The sequence below is a fragment of the Homo sapiens genome, chromosome 3 (assembly GCF_000001405.40).
Source record: "Homo sapiens chromosome 3, GRCh38.p14 Primary Assembly".
NCBI lineage: Eukaryota > Metazoa > Chordata > Mammalia > Primates > Hominidae > Homo > Homo sapiens.
Genome location: NC_000003.12, coordinates 195,228,835 through 195,252,041, shown reverse-complemented (window position 1 = coordinate 195,252,041; position 23,207 = coordinate 195,228,835). Strand labels below are relative to the sequence as shown.

Here is a 23,207-nt window from a genome sequence, read left to right as displayed (position 1 = left end):
GCCCTGTCATTTTAATTGCTGTGTAGTATTTTATTGTGGGTGGACCTCCGTTTACTCATTTGCCTTCTGAGAGATGGCCGGGTGGTTCCCCTGTTTTGTCACTCCCACTACTGTGAACACCCAGGCGAACAATGTGCTTGAGGCTCTCCAGGGTCACGCCTGGAAGGGGCTGCTGGGTCCTGGGGTGTGTGCATCTTCTGCTTTGCAGGACCCTGGTGAGCTCCCCTCCAGGTGGCTGTTCCCCTTCCCATTCCATGTTCTCTTGAGCACTTGGCGGAGACTCCCTTTTATTGGTGTGGGTCTTGCTGCCTTTGAGGCAGGAGGTAGTAGAGGCTTGGGGGCAACTTTGGAAATAGGATAGGAGGGAAACTTTGAGAGCAGACCTGCGTGGCTCCTTTGTGCCACCTCAGACTTCCTGGCTGTGCAGACACTGGGGCCAACCTTCCGAGAGCGTTCAGAGTCTCTGTGGAGGGTAGAGAGGAGGGTGCCTCCAGCTGCAGGCGGAGCAGCCCCTCACTGAAGTCTGGACCCGGTGCTCAGCGCAGCTTCACAGGCGTCTGTCCTGGCCTCACTCCCTTCATGGGCAGGTGCAGGGCTGTATGAGAAGGGCCGGGGGCCTGGCTTCTGGGCTGGCTCCTATAGGGACCTGCTGCCTAACCTGTGGATAGCCCCTTTCCACCTGGCTGGGCCCCGCCTTCCCTGTCAGAAACACATGGGGTCACATGAGTGATTTGGGTGACCGCTTGGCTCTACCCATATTGGTCATCCACTTGATTTTTGCAGTTAGCAAGTGGTCTCTGCTTTTCCTAACCATGGTCTGCTAGGCTTGAGCCTTGGGGAGCCAGCAGGTGGGGTGGAGGTGGGGGACCTGCCCGCGGGGCAGCAGGGGCCTCGTGCGAGGATGACTTGGCTGTCTCCTTCCTGCAGCTGTGCTCAGTGAGATGGTCTGTGCTTTCATGTAGCTTGAGGGAGTCCTCAGATCCCAGGGCCGTCTGGCCAGTGCACATTTATGCCGACAGAGGGAAGCCTAGGTTGGTCCTTGTGGGTCATTCACAAAAGCCAGAGGCAAACGAGTGCTGCTTTGAGATGAGCATTTTTAAGATCCATGTAACCCCGTCCAGTATTGCTGCTATCTGAAGCCATCATTCAGCCTGGGCATCTACTATGTGCCAGGTGCTGTCCTGGGAACTTGGGTGTATCAATGAACAGAAGAGACAGAACAGGTGAAAAGTCCCTGCCTTGTAGCGCTTACATCCTGGCAGGAAGAGGACTAGATGAGCTGTTAAAATGTCTCGTTTGCTGCCTGGGAGACAGTGAAGTAGGGGTTCATAAAAGGTTAGGTTTCATTTCTTTGTTCCATGAAAAGCAGATGAATAAATCATATAGTATGTTAGCAGGTGAGTACATTATACCGTGTGTCAGCAGGAGAAGAGGACCAGGAGTATGGGGGTGGTTGCAGTGTTTTTTTTTTTTTTTTGAGATGGAGTTGCACTCTTGCCGCCCAGGCTGGAGTGCAGTGGCGCGATCTCTGCTGACTGCAACCTCTGCCTCCTGGGTTCAAGTGATTCTCTGGCCTCAGCCTCCCAAGTAGCTAGAGTTATAGGCATGTGCCACCACGCCCAGCTAATTTTTGTATTTTTTAGTAGAGACGGGGTTTCACCACGTTGGCCAGGCTAGTCTCAAACTCCTGACCTCACGTGATCCATCCACCTCGGCCTCCGAAAGTTCTGGGATTACAGGTGTAAGCCAACACGCCCGGCCAGTTGCAGTTTTTAATTGGATGGGCAGGGAAGCTGTCACTAAAAGGTGACATTGAGTGAAGACCTGAAGGAAAGAAGGAGCTGGCTGGGCAGCCCTGGGGAGGAGCATCTGGGCAGCAGGTGTGAGGGGCTGCTGTGTCGGAGGCTCAGTGCAGTGTGGCCTGGGTGAGCACAGTGGACATCAGTGCCAGAGCTAGCAGGAGGAGGGCAGCTCCCAGCCTGCATCAGAGTGAGGATTCCAGCTTTGACTGGGTCAGAGGAGGAGGGCTCTGGCCTCCGTGTGGAGAGTAGAATGCTGGGGAGACCCTTAGGAGGCCATCACCCTGGCTCTGGGGAGAGAGGATGGTGCTTGGCCTGGGGAAGCTGTGGTGGTGGTGGGTGGTGGAGGGATTCTGGATCCATCAGGAAAGGGCCGCTACTAGGTTGGGATGTTGAGGTTTTCTCCACTAGAGTTTATTTATGCGTGGACTTGAAGTATGTGACATCAAGAGGGCTACAGACCACACGTTTACCTCTTTTGACAGCGCTTGGGTTTGTAGTGAGCAGGCTCAGTGGGAGCTGTGCCCCTTAATGAAGGAGTCAAATAGGACAAGTGAAGCGAGGGCAACCCTTGTGCCTGAAAGGTTGAGTGTGTTCTGGAATCGGCGAGACGTGGGCTGAAATCTGGGCTTTGGCCATCGACCTAGTCACCCTGGGCAGGGACCTTCCCCTCTCTGGCCACGACTGCCTCCTTTCCACGGGGCATGGTTATGGTGAGGATGAGATGAGCTCATGTCCATCTACGTTGCTGCCTGACATGTTTCCTTTCTTTGTGATCCCATGAAGAGCAGGTGCCAGTGTGCCATGTGCCTGTCACGTGCCATGCGCCTGGTGTGAGCCGCGTGGCCATTGTGTGCTGATGTGAGCCGTATGCCTGATGTGAGCCCTATGCCTGTTTTATACAGCATGGTGCTGCTTAGAGAAGTGCCAGATCCTGAACATCGCCTGGTGGGTGTAACCTTTTGAAGTTACAGGAAGGGATTTAGTTAGAGGCTTTAGATGAGACATTAGGTGAATTAGGTGAGTAGGTTCTGACGTCAGGCGGGGAAATCAGCGTGTTGAACTCCCCCTGGCTGCTGGTGCCGCACTTGGCCTTTTAAACAGTGTCTCACCCACAAAAGGAGGCGATGGATGTGAATAGGGCATCTACAATTCCGTCTGCATGTTTCCTTCCTGCATTTTCCCAGTGCCCTAGAGCTGTCTGCAGTATTACCTACTTAACGTATATTTTAATTTGGCTCCTGTATTAGTCCATTTTCACGCTGCTGATAAAGACATACCCGAGACTGGGTAATTTATACAGGAAAAAGGAGTTTGTTTTTTGAGACAGAGTCTCACTCTGTCCCCCAGGCTGGAGTACAGTGGCGCAATCTTGGCTCACTGCAATCTCCTCCCTCCGAGTTCAAGCGATTCTCCTGCCTTAGCCTCCCGAGTAGCTGGGATTACAGGTGCCTGCCACCACACTCAGCTAATTTTTGTATTTTCTTAGTAGAGACGGCGTTTCACCCTGTTGGCCAGGCTGGTCTCAAACTCCTGACTGCAGGTTATCCACCCGCCTTGGCCTCCCAAAGTGCTGGGATTACAGGTGTGAGCCACTGCGCCTGGCCAAGGAAAAAGGGCATTTTAATGGACTTACAGTTCCATGTGGCTGGGGAAATCTCACAATCATAGTGGAAGGCAAGGAGGAGTGAGTCATGTCTTACATGGATGGCAGCAGGCAAAAAAATAAGAGAAACTCCCGTCTTTTGTGGTGGTGTTGTTGTTCAGGGAAGCGGGAGCTGTGCAGGGAAACTCCTCCTTACGGAACCATCAGATTTCATGAGACTTACTCACTTTCACAGGAACTGCACGGGAAAGACCTGCCCGCACGATTCAGTTACCTCCCGCCCAGTCCCTCCCACAGCAGGTGGGAATTCAAGATGAGATTTGGGGAGAGACACAGCCAAACCATGTCAACTCCTTTTTCTTCTTCTTTTCTCCTTAGCCCCTCCTGAGGTAGTATCTGTTGAAGTCAAAGTTCTAAAGCTTTCTTCTTAGTACTTTGCACAACAGTATAAGCCTGTAAGTATCTAAGTGGTTGGTCCGTGTGCCCACAGGACGCCCTTTTGCACCCCTCTGGATGTGTGTGTACCAATCTCAGCGAGCACTGGATGAGCGGCTTTGTGAAACCCAGGAGAGCAGGCAGCCTTGGAAAGTGGCTGATAAGGTTTGGCTGTGTCTCCACCCAAATCTCACCTCAAATTGTAATCCCCACGTGTCAGAGGAAGGGCCTGGTGGGAGGTGATTGGACCACAGGGGCGGGACTTCCTCCCTGCTCTTCTCGTGAGAGTCAGTGAGCTCTCAGGAGATCTGCTGTTTGAAAGTGTGTAGCGCTTCCCCCTTCTCTCTCTCTGTCCTGCTGCACTATGGTGAGATGTGTCCCTTCCGCCGTGATTGTGTGTTTCCTGAGGCCTCCCCAGCCAGGCAGAACTGTGAGTCCATCAAACCTCTTTTCCTTATAAATCACCAAGTCTTGGGTCCTTCTTTACAGCAGTGTGAGAACAGGCTAATACAGCAGCTGAGCCTGCCCTGGGGTCGGAGGGTTCGAGCCTGGCAGGGCTGTCTGGGGATCATGGCTCTCCCCCTTGGGCTCCAGCTGTGTCCCCAACCCAGAGAGCCAGGAAGGAGGTGGGGGGCCATTCGGAACTGGGGCTCAATGCCAGTTTCAAGAGAGGCCGGCCCCTAGAGGAAGCTGTGCACGAGGGTGAGGTGCGGAAGATGGGGACGAGCCTCCCGGCCCAGGCCACCTTCCTGCCTGCGGGACAGAATCTGGCTCAGTGCCTCCTTTGGGTGTTACTCATGGTAAAACTGCAGTGTTCTTTGGAGGTCATAGGTCATGGGATGGTTCCCACACGAAAAAAGGACAAATCGAGGAATCTGGCTAAGAAGCCTTCACGGCCCTCCCACCGCTCGGCTTGGTGAATACGTGGACTGTGACCGACCACCCTCAGATTTCACAGTGAAATCCTGGAACGGCCGTTCGCCCTCTTCTCCCATCTCACCTCCTTCTTGTCTTTCCCTCGCTGCCATACCTCTTCCCCTCCTTTTTGGGGTGGAACACATTATTTTGTAGAAAAACGGCTTCTACTGTCCGGAAAATTTAGTATTAAATGTCAAAAAGCAAAACATGATTTATAGAAAAGGTGAATTAGGGAATGCTTCTACCCACTGTGCAAGGATTATTTCAAAAAAGTTCACTCAGAGTATTCTTTAGTGAGTGCCAAAAACAGATGGTGAGTGACTCCGTGCATTTGTAATGTTTCTCTGTGGAGAGACAGAAATTGGGACCAGGAGGCTGGAGCGGCAGGTGGCGAGTGGCGCCGGGAGTCTGGGACTGGCTCTCTGGCTGTGGCTGTGGGGGCTGGATAGACCGTGTTAAAGAAATCCTGGATTTATGCTTGTGGAACCCCTCAGCCTGTGTCACGGTGTCTGGAAGGCCATGTGGCCACATTGTAACATCACTGTTGGCTGGTCATGAACACACAGAGAGTCCAGAGGATAGCACAGACCCCTGCTCACCCCCGCCTCTCCTTTGGAGCTGCCTTGTGGTTTATTCCTCATCAGCCTGGAGGAGTGTCCGGGGCTCACCCCCTCTGCCTCTGCTCACTGCTCATTCCTCTCATTTTTCCCCTGAGTCTTGCTCTCCCTCCAGGGACATGGCTCCATCCTGCTGGTTTGCCATAGTTCCTCATGGTCATCCTGGAAATTCATCTGGAAGGCCCGTGTGTTTGAAGGTCCACAAGGTGCCGTACCTACAAGACAGACACACTGTGTATTGCTGTGCTTACACGGTCTTCGTCTCTGTATCTGCTTGCCAAAGACCCTCTTGCCATTGGAGGTGAGGAAGACACGAGCAGGGTGAGGGGAAGAAGAACAGGTCTGGCCACACTTGGCACAGAGAGGGCACTGGATCCTTTGCGCAGGTCTTCTTTCTTCCAGTCGTGACAGCCTTGTCTTCCTGGGGACCGATGCTTGATTGTTGCTCTGTTAGGAGCGCCTGAGTCAAAAGCAAATTGAGATTTTGAAAGAGAGAAGGGGTTTATTTTAGCCATTTATCCTCCCTTCATTACAGGCAAGAAAAAACCTGGTGTAAACACCAGTGTGCTAGATGGAGAAGGAGGCGAAGAGAATAAATCAGCAGGTGTGTGTGTGGTTGTGTTGTCTTCTGTATTAGACCATTTTTGCGTTGCTATAAAGAGATATCCGAGATTGTGTAATTTATTTTAAAAAGAGGTGTAATTGGCTCATGGTTCTGCAGGCTGTAGAGAAGGGTGGTGCCAGCGCCTGCTTCTGCGGGAGGCCTTAGGAAGCTTCCGGTCATGGCGGAAGGTGATGGGGAAGCAGGCACATCACAGGGTGAGAGCAGGGGCAGGAGAGAGTGGAGGCGGGTGGAGGTGCCACACACTTCTTTCTACAACCAGATCTGCCGTGAACCGCCTGAGCGAGAGCTAACTCACATCCAAGGAGATGGTGCTAACCATTCATGAAGGACCCGCCCCCATGATTCCGTACCTCCCACCAGGCCCCAGTCCGGCGTTGCGAATCACACTCCAACATGAGATTTGGAGGAGACACACATATCATCCTCTCTGCCTCTTCCCACTCCCACGTGAGGCAAACACCCGTAGTTCCTTCAGCTGCCGCTCAAATTAAATGGCTTCTGGACCCCTTGCCTCCTTGGGACACTCTAGAACAGGTGTGTCCAGTCTTTTGGCTTCCCTGGGCCACACTGGAAGAAGATGAATTGGGCCAGGTGCAGTGGCTCATTCCTGTAATCCCAGCACTTTGGGAGGCCGAGGTGGGCCGAATCACTTGCAGGAGTTCAAGACCAACCTGGCCAATATGGTGAAACCCCATCTCTACTAAAAATACAAAACTAGCTGGGCGTGGTGGTGCGTGCCTGTAATCCCAGCTACTCAGGAGGCTGAGGCAGGAGAATCGCTTGAACCCGGGAGGCAGAGATTGCAGTGAGCCAAAATCACACCACTGAACTCCAGCCTGGGTGACAGAGCGAGACTCCGTCTCAAAAAAAAAAAAAAAAAAATTTTCTTGGGCTACACATAAGGCTGAAGAGCAATGGTGCAATCTTGGCTCACTGCAACCTCCGTCTCCCAGGTTCAAGCAATTCTCCTGCCTCAGCCTCCTGAGTAGCTGGGATTACAGGCACGTGCCACCACCCCCGGCTAATTTTGTATTTTTAGTAGAGACGGGGGTTTCTCCATGTTGGTCAGGCTGGTCTTGAACTCCCGACCTCAGGTGATCCACCCACCTTGGCCTCCCAAAGTGCTGGGATCACAGGCGTGAGCCACCGCACCCGGCCGGGAGTGGGTTTTTTTTTGTTTTTTTTTTTTTTGAGACAGAGTCTCATGTTGTATTTGTCATAATGATCTAAAGTTTAAAAATTTTTAAATGAAACATGTTTTTTTTTTTTTTTTTTTTTTTGAGACAGAGTCTTGCTCTGTCGCCCAGGCTGGAGTGCAGTGGTGTGATCTTGGCTCACTGCACGCTCTGCCCCCTGGGTTCACGCCATTTTCCTGCCTCAGCCTCCCGAGTAGCTGGGATTACAGGCGCCCTCCACCACGCCTGGCTAATTTTGTATTTTTAGTAGAGACAGGGGTTTCTCCATGTTGGTCAGTCTGGTCTCGAACAGCCGACCTCAGGTGATCCACCCACCTTGGCCTCCCAAAGTGCTGGGATTACAGGCATGAGCCACCGCGCCCGGCCGGGAGTGGTTTTTAAATGAAGATTCCTGTGCCTGACTGCCGACCCTGACTCAGAATCTCTGTGCTCAGTACCCTGGAGTCTGTGTTTTAATAAGTCTCCCCAGCAAGAGCCATGTGTGCGTGCAGCAAAGCTGGAGACCCAGGACCCAGAGCTGCCCTCCTTGCAGCGAGGGTGAAGCTTGCAGGCTTGCTGGAGACACGCCGTCCTGTTGACATGTGACGTTTCATCACCTGCTGTCCAGTGGGCCGGTGTCTTTGTGTTACATTTGCTCCTACCCTGCCCTGGTCATATCAAGGTTTTGGATGACTGGAATAGGGCCCATCTCTGCTGACACAATGGCAATCTTGCAGGAGTCCTAGAACGTTCATTGCAGGTCTGGTTACCTAGAAACTAGTGATGGTTCAGTAAGCACGAGGTGGAGATGAGGGTGAGGAGGTAACGATTGGACGTCGTGCAGTGAGGACAGCGTGGGGAGGAGGGGCTGTCACTTTTGAACTGTCAGTAAAGTAGGTTGTGAGAATGGATATTGGACATGGCTTTAGAAATTAGCTGGGCAGGCTGCTTTTCCCCTCTCAGCTGTTTGTGGTGCTGCCTGACAAAATTCAATTACTAGTCCATCCAGGACATCCTGCAGAAGCGATAATCGTCACATGAGGGAGGGGCCCAGCCTGTGGTTCTGTCTTTTTCTTTCCTTGTAAAAACTGCACGTCCATTATGACTGTTACCTTTTCCATTTAAAGCTAACCAAATTCAGAGCATTTACCACTTACCCTTGCAGACCTTTGTTTTCAAAGTGAGCTCAAGTTATTGGTGGGGGCAACAGGCAGCCACTGATAGTGTCTTCAGGACATGTTAGTGACTAAGAAAAGAGAGATCAATAGACCTGTGGCTCTACCCGTCTATCACTCAATTATCTGTCTGTCACTCCAGGAAAACCTCATTTAAGGAAACACCTTTGATATAATTTCAGACATAAATTTTAGATTCGGGCATGGCTATTCTGAAGTAGTAATAGAGAAGTTATTAAGAATAACTTTTAGGCAGACAGTTAAGGTAAAGGTTCTCGGTGGAAATTTTCTTATAATAAGAAACAACCCCCGAACCATCTCTTTTTTTTTTTATTATACTTTGAGTTCTAGGGTACATGTGTACAACGTGCAGGTTTGTTACATATGTATACATGTGCCATGATGGTGTGCTGCACCCATTAACTCGTCATTTACATTACGTGTATCTCCTAATGCTATCCTTCCCCCTTCCCCCCACCCCACGACAGGCCCTGGTGTGTGATGTTCCCCTTGCTGTGTCCAAGTGTTCTCATTGTTCAGTTCCCACCTATGAGTGAGAACATGTGGTGTTTGGTTTTCTGTCCTTGCGATAGTTTGCTGAGAGTGATGGTTTCCAGTGTCATCCATGTCCCTACAAAGGACGTGAACTCATCCTTTTTTGTGTCTGCATAGTATTCCATGGTGTATATGTGCCACATTTTCTTAATCCAGTCTATCATTGATGGGCATTTGGGTTGCCGAACCATCTCTTTTCTAACAGAAAAGGCGTCTTGAAGGGCTGGGCCAGCAAGCTTTGATATGCGAATGCCAGCCATTAGAAACTGGGTTCACTCAACATGGCGATTCCCACCCTGTTCTTGTCACTGGGTGTAGCAAGTGTTATGGCCACCTCCAGATAACACCTTGTGTTCAGAACATCATGGCACCCTACATTTGCATATTAAAAGGGCTAAGGTGGGAGGGCCAGGTTTTTCTGCGGGCTGTGTAAATAACATACCTGGACAAATCAATTCCCTGGGCCCTATGCAGATCAGACCCCACCTCCTCCAGCCTCCCATGTGAACCCCCGCTTTTCCACTGCACTTTGTTTCTCCTTGTTCCAAACCCTATCCCTTGTCTCTGTACGGGTGAGCTGTTCCCTTCTTTCTTCCTTCTTTCTTGCCTATTAAACTTTTCGCTCCTTAAAACCACTCCTCATGTGTCCATGTCATTGATCCTGTTGGCGCAAGACCAAGAACCCTGGTGTTGCTCCAGTCATCAAAGTCGTATCAGTAGTTTGCAGGTTGGGTGTAAAATTGAGGCAACAGCTCCTACTGACAAAGAGAGTGATTGTAGCCCGGGTCTTCTGTCTAGCAGGTTAAAGGTGAGAAGGAGGCCTGTGCTCCGGAATGTTTAGAGTAAGTCCTATGTGGAAGAAATCTCTCTCTTTGGGTGAGGGCTGGGATGGAGAAGCACATGACATGCCCGGGGGAGATGCTGGGGTCAGAAGGAACTGCTCAGTTCCCAGGTGCTGCGGGGCCACGGGGCAACATTCTGTGTCTGAAACAGTTGTCCCATCGCCCCTCCTCTCTGCCCCTTTATTTGCTCGTTCCTACCTGCAGCAAGCATTTACAGAGCCTCCACTGCATGGGAAGCACTTGACTAAGAGCTGGATATGCAGCAATGAATACGACAGACAAGGTCCCGCCCTCATGGTGCCTTACAGGCTGGCTGGGAGCTGGGGAGAGATGGGCAGTAAGTGACTAAACACTGAAAAATATGACATGTCTGGTGATAAGTATTATGGAGGAAATGAATCTGGTCATGCAATAGCCAGGACTGATGGGTACATGTGTGTGTTGTGTGCATGTCTGTGTATGTTGTGTGCATGTGTGTGTGTGTTGTGCGCATGTGTGTGTGTGTTGGTGGTGAGGGTGGTAGCTACTTTTTTGGTGAGGGAAAATCTCTGGAGGTGACGTTTGAACTGATACCTGAATGGCTAGAAGGATTCAGGCAGAAGGTTCTGGGGGAGGGTTCTCTGAGCAGAGTAGACAGTGCATAGGCCCTGGGGTGTTCAGGTGTCTGGCATGGGTGTAGGAATGAAAGACTCCTAGTCCGTTAGCAGATTTTTCTTCGCTTCTGGAAATGCGCCTTCACATTCTTGGTGCAGGTTAATTGGAAAACAATGTTTTGTTTTGTTTTCCCAGAAAGTCATTTTTCCTCCAGTTCTTGTTGGAATTGCTGACAAGCCTTGGGGAGAGATCAATAGGTAGTGTAGCTCTGCCCATCCATCACTCAATCATCTGTCTGTTGCTCCAGGAAAACTTCCTTTAAGGAAACACGTTTGATACAATTTCAGACATGAAAATCAGGACACAGAATAGCTGTGCCCTAATTTAAATCCTGTGGGGCCCATAGTGGGGTCTATTGTGTCCCCAACCACCAGCCTCAGAGCCTGTCATTTTGTTTGCTTGTCCTCCAAGTGTATGGATACCAGACATCACAGGGCACCTGCCCTTGCTTCAAGAAGGTGTGAACAGCTCCTCCTTGGGAATGTGCCAAGTAGGTGTCGGTCCTGAAAGACCCGCCCTGCTTCTTCAGGTCGGCCTTGGTGTTCTGCCAGGCTTGACGAGGCCTGAGAGTGGGAGAGTGGGAGAGGCCATTTCCAATTGGGAGGCAGATGTCTTTACTTAGTGACTTTTCTGATACATTAAGACCTCTTCCGTTCAGAATTGTGTTTGATCTACCTATAGGTTTGGAGCGTTTTAGTGACTCTTTTTTTTATTTGAGATGGAGTCTTGCTCTGTTGCCCAGGCAGGAGTGCAGTGGCACAATCTCAGCTCACTGCAACCTCCGCCTCCCAGGTTCAAGCGATCCTCCTGCCTCAGTCCCCCAGTTTATGGTTCCTTCAGGAGGTGGATTCAGCATTGGCAGGGGCACCAGGATTGCTGGACTTGGGTAGAGTGTGCCTGAGCTTTGTGCCACCACCTTCCCTCCAATAGCTGTGCTGGGGGATGGTCTCTGGCGGCGCATGGGGAGGAGATGGGTGAACCCTTGGCCTCCGGCCGACCTGTGGCGTTGCTGTCTGTGGCCAGAGGAGTGGCTGTTCTTCAAACAGGCCTTGGGATTTCCGGGAAACCTGGCATCTTTCCGTGCGTGGGGCCAGCCCTTGCCACGTGCCTTCTTGGCTCAGGAGTGTGGCTGCGACCTGACTCCCAGTGGGGCCGGCCAAGTGATAAAATTAGTTTTCTCCACCAAATGGAGCTAAAGGCTTGGCCTGAGTTTATGTCCCCAGGGAGTGTTTAGAGGAGCGGTGGCCTGGCTCTCAGGCATCTCAGTGCCAGCGAGCACAGGGCTGGGTGGCAAAGACGCCTGCTTCTGCCTGGCACCAGGCTCTGCCATGACTGATGGATGCTTCAGCCTCCCTGCATCACAAGTGTTGAGTTTGCTGTGCATGGTAGAATATGAGGCAAGCTTCACCTCTTTCCCCTCCTCCCTACACTGTCCCTTTCGAAAGAGTTGAGCCTTTCCAAGGTCTTTTATATCACACAGCACTTTCTCGGTTACATATTTTAGTTTGAACAACAAAGTACTGTTTGAGGACACCTTTGCCTGAAAAGAAAGCTCAGTCATTACTGAATTTAGATGCAGAAGTAATTAAAAATAAAAGTAGGCAGAGAAATTTAACACAGATTTAATCATTTCTGGGGCAGGATATTCCTGGGGTGGGATATTCCTGAAGGTTAGTGAATGGCTACAAATATATGATTATAGGCCGGTGAAGAACCCTACTTTGAGAAATGTCATTAGGTGATTAAAAACAACACCCAACTGCCCTCATGATACGAACATGGGTTCTTGTGGGTTGGGGTGACATTTCTGATGCCAACATTCTACATAAATTCACAGGGAACCGTATCCAACACATCCTAAACAGCTGGTGAGGAGGACGTGCTCTGGGTGGCTCAGCTTGACTCTGGGCTTCATAAAGGCATTGCTGTTGATGCACACGAAGGGTTTGAAGAGAAATTATTTTGTAAGCTGGGTGTGGGAAATAGTATTTTATAGTCAACAGGATTTTTAAGTATGTGTATGTAAACAAATTAATAAAACCTACAAATCGTGATCAGACTTTTTTGTCTACATTCCTAAAAATCATATATTCCAGGTTGGCATTAACTATTGTTTTGTGTCTTCTCATTGGCTAATTGCCTTCAGTATGGAAGTCATCTTATATTCCTGGTTTCCCAGGTTGTATGTTCTTCTTGCAGCTCTCGAGGTGGGGGACTTGAAAGGGAGGAGGGGAGGTCGAAGGGGTGGCCTTTTCTCTCCCCCATCCCTCTCATTTCCTCTCTTCACTCTTGCTTTGCTGCCCCCTGCCGCACTGCCAGGCATCAGCCCCTGGTCTGGGCAAAGGACCCCAGAGTATGACAGGTGCCAGCCCATCCTTGGGAAGGTTAGTTTGCAAACCTGTTTTAGTCTTTGGGAGGCCTGGGTATTTTGATTCACACTTGCAGGGTCTGTGATTTGCCTCTTGCTGCATAAAGTCTATTCCATGAAGCATACTCATTTATCTTTAAGCAGATTTATTATATGAAATATTCATGGGTGCAGGCTTGGCAGCACAGCGTCTGGAACAATGTACTGAGTACAGTTTGTCCTCAGAAGTCTATTCATGCTGATGGGATGCAGTTGTCTCCTGTGAAGCTTTGGGGTGAGATGGGGCCAGTAGGGAGTGAGCTGGCTGAGGATAGCTCTTCATCTCCCTTAGTTTGGCTGCAGCAGCCCTGCTCTGCGTGTATGCCTGCGCAGATCCGTTCTTTCTCTTCCTGCTTAGTGAACACAGAGGCCTTCCCTTCTGCGAGAACCCTCTTGTCAGCTTCCAGCTTCCTGTGTAATTCGAACGGATAGGGATGATTTGGAGGGAGGGAAAAGCTGGCTTAGGAGTGAAAACTGATCTGTGGGGAGAAGGCATTTCGGGGACTGGGAGGAGGTTTGGTGCTAACACTTAGGAGTAAGCACAGTGTGGCAACCCCCGGGCTCAATGTGTGTTCCACATGGCCCTGACAGACACCACAGGAAGCATGTGGTGACAGTCCTGTATTACCCACGAAGAAACTGGGGCTCAGAGAGGTTTAGTTACTTGCCCAAAGTGCAGTTCACTTAGTTTAGCAAACCTGTATGGATGTATGGGTGGCCTGTCATGTGGCCAGTGGCTGGATACAGGGCACAGAGCAGTCACGGCCTCTGCCTACGAGGAGTGCCCCATGCAGCCGATAGAGAAACAGAGCCCTGAAAAGTGAGTCAGACAGGGTGAGTGGAGCCCCCATGCGATGCAGGGTGTTAGGAAGGGCCTGGTGAATTGTGGGAGGCTGTGGGAAGGCTGGAGGGGAGGATTGGAAAACTGGATAGGATCTTACCAGGCAGATGGGGGCTGGGAGAGGTAATTACAGACGGTGGGAAGAGCAAGTACAGGCATGCAAGGATGTAGGTCATCCAGGTGTGGCCAGTAGACGGGAGACTGCCTGGTTCAGTGCTGCCCAGTCACACGAGGCGGGGAGGTCGGGGGACGGGGCCAGAACCACTATTGCAGCGGCTTAGAGGCCTTGCTAGAGGATTCGGACTGTAACTAAGGGAGCGACGAGTCGTCGGAGGTCTTGAAGCCAGGGAGAGAGAAAAACGAATTTCTCTATTTGGAAAACAATTCTGGAGGTATAACAGAATGGGGCAGTGGGGAAGGTAGGAGGTAGGGAAACCTGTCAGAGAGGTCGCAGGGGCAGGGGTGAGAGGAAGCGGAGGGGTGTGGGAATGAGAAACATAATTTGAGATTTCTGTTGGAAAATAGCAGGAACTGGTCTGGATTCTGTGTCTGGAAAAAAGTATTAAAAACAAACAAACAACAAACAAACCAGTAGCCAGAAAAGGATAAAGGAAACGGTACCTTAGAAGAGAAGCATGAAGACATTTTTAAAAAGGCTTTTATAATGAGGCAGAAGATTTAAAGTGTTACATAAAACAAGTTTTAGGGAATGAGGAGGACCAATGTGGCATAAAAGGTTTTTATGGTTAGGCTGGAGGTGGAGCAAGGTGGCCAAACAGAAGCCTCCACCAACCATCCTCCTCACAAGAACACCAAATTTGACAACGATCTACACCAAAAAAGCACCTTCGTGGGCACTAAAAATCAGGTGAGCGATCACAGTACCTGGTTTTAACTTCATATTACCGAAAGAAGCACTGCAGAGGGTAGGAAAGACAGTCTTGATCACTGACTCCATCCCTGTGGCGGTGGCCACATGGTGCTCAGAGAGAACCTGTGTGACGGGGAAAGGAGAGTGCAGCAGTTGTGGGACTTTGCATTGGAACTCATTGCTGCCAGCAGTGGGTAGAACTCAGCCGATGCCCACGGAGGGAGCATTTAGACCAGCCTAGACAGAGGAGAATCACCCATCTCAGCAGTCAGAACTTGAGTTCCAGCAAGCCTTGTTACCATAGGTTAAAGTGTTCTGGGTTCTAAATAAACCAGGCCACAAGGACTGCAACACCCAGGTGAGTCCTAGTGCTGTGCTGGGCTCAGAGCCAGTGGACTTGGGGGTTACATGACCTAATGAGACACCAGCCAGGGTGGCTCAGGGAGCACTTGCATCCCCTATCCCCCAAACCCAGGCAGCGCAGCTCACAGCTCCAAAAGAGACCCCCTCCTTCTGTTAGAGGAGAGGAGAGTAAAGAGGACTTTGTCATGCAACTTGGGTACCAGCTCAGTCACGGTAGGATAAGGCACCAGGCAGAGTCATGAGGCCCCCATTCCATGCCCTAGATCTTAGATGACATTTCTAGACACCCTGGGCCAGAAGGGAGCCTACTGCCCTGAAGGGAAGGACCCAGTAATGGCAGGAATCATCACCTGCTGACGAAAGAGCCCCTGGACCCTGAATAATCAGCAGTGGTAACCAGGTAGTACATACCATGGGCCTTGGGTGAGACTCTGAGACCTGCTGGCTTCAGATGGGATCCAGCACATTCACAGCTGTGGTGGTTAACGAGGAGAGACTCCTTCTGCTTGAGTAAAGGAGAGGGAAGAATAAAGGGGACTGTGTCTCGCAGCTTAGATACCAGCTCAGACATAGGGGGAGCACCAACTGGGCCCTTGGGGTCCCCAGTTCCAGGCCTTGGCTCTGGGATAGCATTTCTGGACCTACCCCAGGCCAGAGGGGAGCTCACTGCCCTGAAGAGAGTCCCAGGACTGGCAGCATTCACCACAAGCTGACTAAAGAGTCCTTGGGCATTAAGTGAACATTGGTGGCGCTCTGGCAGCACTCCCCATGGGCCTGTGGTGGTACTGGACACAGGGAGAGAGTCCTCTGCCTGGAGAAAGAGGAGGGAAGAGTGGGAAGGACTTTATCTTGTGGTTTTGTTGCCAGCTTAACCGCAGTAGAATAGAGCACCAGGCAGATTTCTAGGGCTTCCGATTGCAGGCCCTGGCTCACAGATAGCATCTCTGGACCTGCCTGGGGCCCAAGAGAACTCACTGCCCTTAAGGGAAGGACACAAGCCTGGCAGTCTTTGCCACCTGCTAATTGTAGGGCCCTAGGGCCTTGATTGAACATAGAGAGTAGTCAGCTAGTGGTTATAGCAGGCCTCGGGCAAAACTCAGTGGTGTGCTGGCTTCAGATCTGACCAAGTGCAGTCCCAGTGGTGATAGTGACAGGGGTGTCACCCCTCCCCAATCTCCAGGCAGCCCAGCCAGGTGTATATCTCTATGTCTATGTCTATGTCTATGTCTATGTCTATGTCTATGTCTATGTCTATGTCTATGTCTATATATTTATAGATATATAGAGAGATTGCATTCATCTGGGAGATAGGGAAGAGAACAAGTAATTCGGAGAATTCTTCCAGATGTGATCTAAGACCATCAAGGTGGTGCATCTACAAATCTGCAAGAACCACGGCATTGCTGGGCTTGGTATGCCCCCTAATGCAGATACAGCTGCAGTGACCAAAAACTTAGATCACAACACCCACGTCCTTTGAATACCTGGAAAGCCTCCCCAAGAAGGATGAGTACAAACAAACCCAGACTGCAAAGACTACAATAAATACCTAACTCTTCAATGGCCAGACACCTACAAACATCCACTAGCATCAAGACCATCCAGGAAAATAGGACCTCACCAAGTGAACTAAATAAGGCACCAGGGGCCAGTCTTGGAGAAACAGAGATATGTGATCTTTCAAACAGAGAATTGAAAATAGCTGTTTTGAGGAAACTCAAAGAAATTCAAGATAGCACAGAGAAGGAATTCAGAATCCTATCAGATAAATTTAACAAACAAATTGAAATAATTAAAAACAGTCAAGCAGAAATTCTGGAGCTGAAAAATGCAATTGACTTACTGAAGAATGCATCAGAATCTCCTAATAGTAGAATTAATCAAGTAGAAGAATGAAATAGTAAACTTTAAGAGGCTATGTGAAAATACACAGTTAGAGCTGGGAGGATGGCTTGAGCCTGGGAGGCAGAGGTTGCAGTGAGGCAAGATTGCCCCACTGCACTCCAGCCTGGATGACAGAGCCAGACCCTGTCTCAAAAAAAGAAAGCAAGAGAGCGAGAAAAGAAAGCAAGCAAGAAAGAACAGTCAGAGGAGACAAAAGAAAGAGTAAAAAAGAATGAAGCTTGCCTACGAGATCTGGAAAATTGCCTCAATGGGGCAAATCTAAGAGTTACTGGCTTTAAAGAGGAGGTAGAGAGAGAGACAGCAGTAGAAAGTTTATTTAAAGGGATAATAACAGAGAACTTCCCAAACCTAGAGAAAGATATAAATATTCAAGTACAGGAAGGTTATAGAACACCAAGCAGATTTAGCCCAAAGACGTCTACCTCAAGGCATTTAATAACAAACTCTCAAAAGTCAAGAATAAAGAAAGGATCCTAAAAGTAGCAAGATAAACAAATGACATAAAATAGAGCTCCAGTACGTCTGGCAGCAGACTTTTTGGTGAGAACCTTACAGGCCAGGAGAGAGTGGCATGACATACTTAAAGTGTTGAAGGGAAAAAACTTAAATAGCATATATGGCAAAAATATCCTTCAGGCTGGGTGCGGTGGCTCATGCCTGTAATCCGAGCACTTTGGGAGGCTGAGGCAGGTGGATCACTTGAGGTCAGGAGTTCAAGACCAGCCTGGCCAAGATGGTGAAACCCCGTCTTTACTAAAAATATAAAAATTAGCCAGGCATGGTGGCAGACGCCTGTAATCCCAGCTACTTGGGAGGCTGAGGCAGGACAATCGCTTTAATCTGGGAGGCAAGAGGTTGCAGTGAGCTGAGATTGTGCCACTGCACTCCAGCCTGGGCGACAGAGTGAGACTCTGTCTCAAAAAAAAAAAAAAAAAAAAAAAAAATCCTTCAAACATGAAGGAGAAATAAAGACTTACCCAGACAAACAAAAGCTTGATGGATTTCATCAATACCAGACCTATCGTACAAGAAATGCTGGCCAGACGCAGTGGCTCACGCCTGTAATCCCAGCACTTTGGGAGGCCGAGGCAGGCGGATCACAAGGTCAGGAGATCGAGACCATCCTGGCTAACATGGTGAAACCCCGTCTCTACTAAAAAAAAAAAAAAATTAGCTGGGCGTAGTGGCGGGCGTCTGTAGTCCCAGCCACTTGGGAGGCTGAGGCAGGAGAATGGCATGAACCTGGGAGGCGGAGCTTGCAGTGACCCGAGATCGCACCACTGCACTCCATGCTGGGTGACAGAGTGAGACTCCATCTCAAACAAAACAAAACAAAACAAAAATGCTAAAGGGATTTATTTAGTCTGAAATAAAAGGATGTTAATGAGCAATAAGAAATCATCTGCAGGTGAAAAGTTCACTGGTAATGGTGCAGAGAAAAACACAGACTGTTAAAACACTATAATTGCAATGTGTATATTTCTGATATCTTAAGTACAAAGATGAAAAGATAAACCAATCAAAAATAATAACTTTTCAAGACAGTACAGCAAGATGTAAATAGAAACAACAAAAAGTTAAAAAGTGGGGAGATGAAGTTATAGAGTTTTTATTAGTTTTCTTTTTGCTTGTTTTTTAGTATGTTTGTTTATGTAATCAGTGTTAATTTGTCATCAGTTTAAAATAATGTGTTATAAAATATTATTTGCAAATCTCATGGCAACCTCAAGTCTAAAAACATACAATGGATATGAAAAAGTAAAAAGCATGAAAATAAAACATAACACCAGAGAAAATCACCTTTACTAAAAGGGAAGACCAGAAAACAGCTAGAAAACAAATAACAAAATGGCAGGAGTAAGTCCTTACTTAATCAATAATAACATTGAATGTAAATGGAGTAAACTCTCCAATCAAAAGACAAAGAGTGAATGAATAGATTTTTTTTAAGACCCAATGATCTATTGCCTACAGGAAACACACTTCATTTATAAAAACACACATAGACTGAAAATAAAGGTATGGCAAAAGATATTTCATGCCAACGGAAACCAAAAAGGAGCAGAAGTAGCTATACTTATATCAGATAAATCGATTTCAAGAAAAAAATATAAAAAGAGACAAGTTTGTTGTATAATGATAAAGGGGTCAATTCAGCATAAGGATATAACAGTTATATATGCATCCAACACTAGTGCACTCAGATATATAAAGCAAATATTATCAGAGTGAAAGATGGAGATAGACCCCAATACAATGATAGCTGGAGACCTCAACACCCCACTTTCAGCATTGGACAGATCATCCAGACAGAAAATCAACAAAGAAACATCAGACTTAATCTGCACCATAGACGAAATGGACCTAATAGATACTTACAGAACATTTCATTCCATAGTTGCAGAATACACATTCTTCTGCTCAGCACATGGATCATTCTCAAGGATAGACCATATGCTAGGTTGCAAAACAAATCTTAAAACATTCCAAAAAACTGAAATAATATCAAGTATCTTCTCTGACTACAATGGAATAAAACTAGAAATTAATAACAGGAATTTTGGAAACTATACAAACACATGGAAACTGAACAATATGCCTCTGAATGACCAGTTGGTCAATGAAGAGGTTAAGAAAGAAATTGAAAAATTTCTTGAAACAAATGATAATAGAAACACAACATACCAAAACCTATGAAATACAGCAAAGCAGTACTAAGAGAAGTTTATGGCTATAAATGCCTACATCAAAAAAGAAGAAAAAGTTCAAATAAACCACCTAATGATGCGTCTTAGAACTAGAAAAGCAACAGCAAACCAAACCCAAAGTTAGTGGAAGAAAAGAAGTAATAAAAATTAGAGCAGAAATACATGAAATTGAAACAGAGTAAACAATACAAAAGATCAATGAAATGAAAAGTTTTTTTTTGGTATTTTGAAAAGATAAAATTGACAAACCTTTAGCCAGACTAAGAAAAAAAAGAGAGAAGACCCAAATAAATAAAATCAGAGATGAAAAAGGAGATATTACAACTCATACTGCATAAATTCAAAGGATCATTAGTGGCTACTGTGAACAACTATATACCAATAAATTGGAAAACCTAGAAGAAATGGATAAGTTTCTAGACACATACAACCTACTAAGATAGAATCATGAAGAAATCCAAAATCTGAACAGACCAATAACAAGTAATTAGATCAAAGCCATAATAAGTCTCCTAGCAAAGAAAAGCCAAGGATGCAATGGCTTCTCTGCTAAGTTCTACCATTTAAAGAAGAAGTAATACCAACCCTACTCAAACTATTCTGAAAAATAGGGGAGGAGGGAATACTTCCAAACTCATTTTATGAGGCCAGAATTACCCTGATACCAAAAACCAGACAGACACATCAGTAAAAGAAAACTATAGGCTAGTATCCCTGATGAACACTGATGCAAAAATTCTCAACAAAATGCTAACAAACCAAAGTCAGCAGTACATTTAAAAAAAAAAAAAAATCATTCATCATGACCAAGTGGAATTTATCCCAAGGATACAAGAATGGTTCAACGTTCACAAACCAATCAGTGTGATACATCATATCAACTAAATGAAGGGCAAAAACCATATGATCATTTCAGTTGATGCTGAAAAAGCATTTGATAAAATTCAACATCACTTCATGATAAAAATCCTCAAAAAACTGAGTATAGAGGGAACATACCTCAATATAATAAAAGCCATATGCAACAGGCCCACAGCAAATAATCATACTGAATGGGGAAAAACTGAAAGCCTTTCCTCTAAGATCTGAAATAACAAGGATGCCCACTATGTTGAATAGCAACATAGTACTGGAAATCCTAGCTAGAGCAATCAGACAAGAGAACGACATAAAGCCTATCCAAATGGGAAAGGAAGAAGTCAAATTACACTTGTTTGCAGATGATATGACCTCCTATTTGGAAAAACCTAAAGACTCCACCAAAAAACAAAACAAAAAATGTATTGATTAGAACTAATCAATACATTTAGTAAAGTTGCAGAATACAAATTCAACATACAAAAATCATTAGCATTTCTATATGCCAACAGTGAACAATCTGAAAAAGAAATCAAGAAAGTAATTCCATTTATAATTGCTACAAATAAAATACCTAGGGATTAACCAAACAAGTGAAAGCTCTCTAGGATGAAAACAATAAAACACTGATGCAAGAAACTGAAGAGGACACCAAGAAATGGAAAGATAAGCCATATTCATGGATTGGAAGAACCAATATTGTTAAACTTTCCATACTACCCAAAGCAATCTACAGATTCAATGCAATCCCAATCAAAATACCAATGACATTCTTCACAGAAATAGGAAAAAAATCCTAAAATTTATATGGAACCACAAAAGACCCAGAATAGCCAAAGCTATCTTGAGCAGAAAGAATAAAACTGGAGGAATTACATGATGTGACTTCAAGTTATACTACAGAGTTATAGTAACCAAAACAGCATGGTTCTGGCATAAAAACAGACACGTAGACCAATGCAACAGAATAGAGAACCCAGGAATAAATCCATACATCTACAATGAACTCATATTTGACAATGGTTCCAAGAACATACACTGGGGAAAGGACAATCTCTTTAATAAATGAAGCTGGGAAAACTGGATAACCTTATGCAGAAGAATGCATCTAGACCTCTCTCTCTTGCCATATAAAAAAACAAAGTGGATTAAAGACTTAAATCTAAGACCACAAATTATGACACTACCAAAAGAAAACATTGGGGGAAACTCTCCAGGACATTGGACTTGGCAAAGATTTCTTGCGTGATACACCACAGGCATAGGCAATCAAAGTGAAAATGGACAAATGGGATCACATCCAGTTGAAAAGCTTCTGCACAGTGAAGGAAACAATCAGCAAAGTGAAGAGAGAGCCCAGAGAATGGGAGAAAATATTTGTAAACTGTCTATCTGACAAGGGATTAATAACCAGATTATATAAGGGGCTCAAACAACCCTGTAGGAAAAAAATTTAATAATCTAATTAAAAATTGGGCAAAATATCTGAATAGATGTTTCTCCAGAGAAGACATACAAATGGCAAACATGTATATGAAAAGGTGCTCAACATCATTGATCATCAGAAAAATGCAAATCAAACCTACAATGAGATATCATCTCACTCCAGTTCAAATGGTTTTTCTCCAAAAGACAGGCAGTAACAAATGCTGGTGAGGATGTAGAGAAAAGGGAACCTTCATATACTGTTGGTGTGAATTAGTACAATCACTATGGAGAACAGATTGGCGGTTCCTCAAAAAACTGAAAATAGAGCTAGCATATGATCCTGCAATCCCACTGCTAGATATATACCCAAAAGAAAGGAATTAAGTATATCGAAGACATATCTGCACCCCCATGTTTATTGCAGCACTATTCACAATAGCTGGGATTTGGAAGCAGCCTAAGGTTCCATCAGCTGATGAATGGAAAAAGAAAACAGTACATATACAAAATGGAGTACTATTCAGCCATAAATAAGAATGAGATCCTGTCATTTGCAACAACAGTGATGGAACCGGAGATCGTTTTGTTAAGTGGCATAAGCCAGGCACAGAAAGACAAACTTTGCATGTTCTTATTTGTGGGAGGTAGAAATTAAAACAGTTAAACTCGTGGAGATGGAGATTAGAATGATGGTTATCAGAGGCTGGGAAAAGTAGTGGAGTGAGTTGGGGGAGGAGGAGATGGTTAATGGATACAAAAAATATTGGCAAAGGGTGAGTAAGACCTAGTATTTGCTAGCACAATAGGATGACTACAGTAAAAAGTAGTTTAATTACACATTTTCAAATAACTAAAATAATTGGATTGTTTGTAACACAAAGGATAAATGCTTGAGGTGATGGATACCTCATTTACCTTGATATGATTATTATGCATTGTATGCTTGTATGAAAATATCTCATATACTCCATAAATATATATACATACTCTATCCACAAAAATTAAAAATAAAAAAATAGTAACAAAGTTTTTCTAAATTTAATAGTGTTTTAGAAATTAAAAGAGACCCAAGAATAAAAGGAAAGGTGAACTAAGAGAGATATAGGTTAAAAAGAAATATAAGAGAAATAAGCTATGTAAGAGATACAGGCCGGGCGCGGTGGCTCATACCTGTAATCCAACACTTTGGGAGGCTGAGGTGGGTGGATCACCTGAGGTCAGGAGTTCGAGACCAGCCTAGCCAACATGGTGAAACCCTGTCTCTACTAAAAGTAGAAGAATTAGCCAGGCATGGTGGTGGGCGCCTGTAATCCCAGCTATTTGGGAGGCTCAGGCAGGAGAATCACTTGAACCTGGGAAGCAGAGGTTACAGTGAGCCGAGATCACGCCACTGCACTCCAGCCTGGGCAACAAGAGTGAAACTCT

General features: G+C 46.6%; 1 protein-coding gene across 5 annotated transcripts in view, besides 2 other annotated features; it reads left to right on the top strand.

The window, feature by feature from the left end:
* Positions 1–23,207, top strand: part of XXYLT1 (xyloside xylosyltransferase 1) — a 202,876-nt gene that overhangs the window by 19,118 nt on the left and 160,551 nt on the right. Inside the window, exon 1 of one of the 5 annotated variants that reach the window (NM_001308069.2) lies at positions 4,186–4,270. The exons of the other annotated variants lie outside the window; for them this stretch is intronic. Within the exon in view, the coding sequence (NP_001294998.1) occupies positions 4,205–4,270 (66 nt within the window). The 5' untranslated portion in view covers positions 4,186–4,204. Of the gene's footprint in view, positions 1–4,185; positions 4,271–23,207 lie in introns of those variants that run through there. 5 annotated transcript variants of the gene reach the window in all.
* Positions 147–196: a silencer, noted in NCBI's record as "silent region_15031". NCBI's record gives its function as "represses an Ori minimal core promoter by ATAC-STARR-seq in GM12878 lymphoblastoid cells {active_cell/tissue: GM12878}" and the evidence as "EXISTENCE:reporter gene assay evidence [ECO:0000049][PMID:35858748]".
* Positions 11,438–12,000: an enhancer, noted in NCBI's record as "H3K4me1 hESC enhancer chr3:194960771-194961333 (GRCh37/hg19 assembly coordinates)". NCBI's record gives its function as "activates a minimal SCP1, AML or CMV promoter by ChIP-STARR-seq in primed H9 embryonic stem cells {active_cell/tissue: H9 hESC(primed)}" and the evidence as "EXISTENCE:reporter gene assay evidence [ECO:0000049][PMID:30033119]".